The sequence below is a fragment of the Homo sapiens genome, chromosome 9, assembly GCF_000001405.40.
Source record: "Homo sapiens chromosome 9, GRCh38.p14 Primary Assembly".
NCBI lineage: Eukaryota > Metazoa > Chordata > Mammalia > Primates > Hominidae > Homo > Homo sapiens.
The window spans coordinates 63440310-63443818 of NC_000009.12; the positions used below are offsets into that span (position 1 = coordinate 63440310).

A 3509-nucleotide genomic window follows, 5' to 3' on the forward strand; every position below is an offset into this window, starting at 1 on the left:
CACATTTTCCAAAACTCCTTTTCTCTCTATGGTTTCTTTAGAGTTGCTCCATGAGGTTACGATAAGTTACAACTAATTACTGTCATGAGATTGGGAAGTCAGAGTGGTGGATTCATGTACACTGACACCTGAAGTAAAACACATGCAGTTAGGTGTGGACTGGAGAATCACCTGGAGATGTGCTGCAGGCAGCTGAGAGCATCAGCACCCCCAGCCCTGGGCTTCCCAGACAGGACTGAGGATCATCACACGGTGTTCAGCACATACCACCAGGGGCAGGTGCATCCTGGCTTCTGAAGTAGCACCTGAGAATCCCCTGTGTCTAGTACCTGCTTCATGAATAACACTCCATAGGCTTCGGAAAGACTGTGGTTTAGACTCTAATTTATTCAACTTGAATAATTTCTCCTTGAAATACTGAGAATAGCTTCTCTTTTGCTGTACAAATTCCGATTATCCCATAACACAGACTCCTCAGCTGGACTTATCTCTCTTCTTTATTCAGTCAGGACAGGCATTGTCACGTCTTTTCTGTTGGGGATGAGGGCGAAAGAGGCTTAGCGTTCAGAGGAACCTCCCTGGCCTCCTCTAGGAAAATCTCCCGATGACTTTCCAAACCTGACTGAGTTTGAGAACTTCCCTCAGCAGATAGAGGCACCAGAAGGAGCATTGGGGCAGCCCAGCCTCACACATCTGCTTCCTTGGGGTTTATGTTATGACTTGTAACACTGTGGGAGGGTTACTGTCACTCTGTTGACAGTAATAAGTTGCAAAATCTTCAGGCTGCAGGCTGCTGATGGTGAGAGTGTAATCTGTCCCAGATCCACTGTCACTGAACCGAGAGGGAATCCCACTTTGCAGACTGGATGCAGCATAGATCAGGAGCTTAGGAGTTTTCCTTGGTTTCTGCTGATACCAATTTAAATTATTGCTAATGCCCTGACTCGCCCGGCAAGTGATGGTGACTCTGCCTCCTACAGATGCAGACAGGGAGGATGGAGACTGGGTCATCTGGATGTCACATCTGGCACCTGAAGTTAGAAACATAAAAACAAATATTCTTGCAATTAATCATGTTATCAGAGGACTTCCCTGAAGTTCCAGACAGTACTGAGCACACTGACCGAGTATAATCCTAGTGTTCTCCTTCCTTACCTGGCAGCCAGAGCCCCAGGAGCCCCAGGAGCCCCAGGAGCCCCAGGAGCTGAGTGGGGGCCCTCACGTCCGTGCTGTGTCCTGACTGGGGCTGACTCCTGCACCAGGTGTGGCCAGCCTATAAGAAGTCTTCAGGGCAGGGGGCTGTGCTCTAGGAACAGGCAAATCAGCAGGGGATGGGGCAGGCTGAGCACAGCTGCAGGGCTGGCTCATCTCAGTAACTCAGCACACGGGCGCAGTATCCCCAGAGTCCCAGGTCAGACCAGGGCAGCACAGATTTACCTTGAAAGAGTACACTTCTCATTGGTGGCCATATGGTTACAGAACATATTTTTGGAGTGAATTTTCAAAATTTTAAATCAACCTAAGACTAGATTAAATAATATATTTATACTTGTATTAAGAGTGTATAGGAAAGCATCATTTTTGGCAGAAAATTTACAATAAAGTTATAGAGTGTGGGGCTGTCAGAAATTTCAGTTAGTCTCAAAGGAATTTGATGAGTGTAAAAGTATTTAGTGCTATAATAACAATGTCTCTGTCAGTGTGAAATTGCTTCTTTTTTGAAATGAATATAAAAAGAATTTATCAGAAGCATCTTTAATAAATTCAATAGAATTTACTAACAAACTTAAGACATTGTTCCTAGGAGTAAAAGGAAAAACAATTCTCTGAAGATGCACAAAGATGATAATGTGTCACGCATAGATCTGCCATTATCCAGAGCTATGGGTCTCTTTAAGACCCAGGGGCTAAATGGGCTGCACCTTATTCTTGGCGTGATGATCCCCATATTCTATCCCCTTTCCTGCCTTTGGTATAATTTCTTATGGTTCTCCAGCATGGAGAGCTGACTAGTAATACCAGGTCTCATTATTTCAAAATCTCTGTTTCACTCGCGGACTATAGGAGCCAGGATTAAAATCAACTTGAAGCCCTCTATCAATGTAGGCTCAAATAATCAATTGTTTCAAAGTAGGATGACAAAGGCCACATCCCTTGAGTAATGCTCTGAGCTGCGCTCCCCACCAGCCTGTTCCTGGGGTCTCAGGAGCATCTGCCCTAGAGTCTGGCTTTCTGGAGAGCAGGTGAGGGGGGAAAAGCCAGGTCAGTGAACCTCTCTGCTTAGCGAGGGCAGCTGCTGCCCAATGCATGTTCTTGCCATGCACCAGGGCATCATCCTGACCCAGATGCCAGCCACCCTGTCTCACATCCATTTAGAGAGAATCTCCATCTTCTGCCAAGACACTGCCCATGTAGATGAAAAAGTATTTTGCCTCCAAACATATCTTAAGCACTGATTTGAACCTCAATACTTCACACAGATGCCTTTGCCCAGGGCGTGTCGGCCTGGCTCAACAGCAGGGGAAGTGGAGCCAATTACATCAGTGTCAGTGGACTGAGAAATACTCCAGGAAGTAGTTCTCATGCACGACTACCAGTGGCCAGACCAAGGTAGTGCAGCCTGTGCACAAACCTCCTGCTGCTTTTCCAGAGAACTGGATTTCTGGGAAATGGCTACTGAACAGGCTGCCAGGATCCATATATCCAGATTCAGAGAGATACATCTCTGGATTCAAATGCGCTTTTTCTTTGTGCATAATTTTAGCAGTCATTGTTACTACGCCTTGGGGATTCTAGTCATTATACTTCAGCTGACTCTCTATGGCCCTTTCTCCCCTTCACTGCTCTGTCTGAACCTGGGGAAGCAGCTCAGGCTGCAAATGAGGCAGACCTCATGGCCTGGAATTAGCATCCCCTAGGACGGCTGTCAATCAGTGATGACAAGGGAGGTGTACACATCCCGCAGCTCCCTCACCTCTCAGGTGGAATAACAGAGGCATTTTTCCTGTGTTTCTATGTGGGCTTGAGCTCTCGTCATCCTCAGAGGTGGCTCCTTCTGAGGCACCTTTCACTTTCCCTTTCCCTCCTCCCCTCCCTTGCTCATTTGCTTGTTTCCTGCACTTTGTAAATATACTGCCTGCATGCGAATCTTTGGCATCCTTCTCACTGAGGGGACCCAACCTAATGCATTGGAAAAATCCTCATTCTTGGAGGGCATCATTGGTTTGAATTATTGCCACTTCTCATGCTTTAATGCATAGGGAAATTCCAAAAATTTAGGAAATCTTTAAATTCCCTTTGCCAATCTTTCTTAGATTTGATTTTAGCAGAGATTCATTTTCTCTAGGTCACAAAATCACAGAAGCCTTCCACAAATGGCTACACAACATAGAGTCCACATAGAGCAGAGACTCAGAATCTCCCAGGATTTGACATCCACACATCAGACAGTCCTAGATTCTCAGGTTTTTTCTAGGTCGATCGCCTCGTAAATCTGCCTTGTGATATTT

At 46.0% G+C, this 3509-nt stretch overlaps 1 long non-coding RNA gene across 1 annotated transcript; it reads right to left on the reverse strand.

Annotated features, from left to right (window-relative positions):
• Positions 1–367: 367 nt before the first annotated feature.
• LOC107987009 (uncharacterized) lies at positions 368–3083 on the reverse strand. The gene is made up of 2 exons (XR_001746518.2): positions 2975–3083; positions 368–1031 (listed from the first exon to the last, which is right to left on the reverse strand). It is a non-coding gene; the product is annotated as an uncharacterized LOC107987009 (long non-coding RNA).
• Positions 3084–3509: the final 426 nt, after the last annotated feature.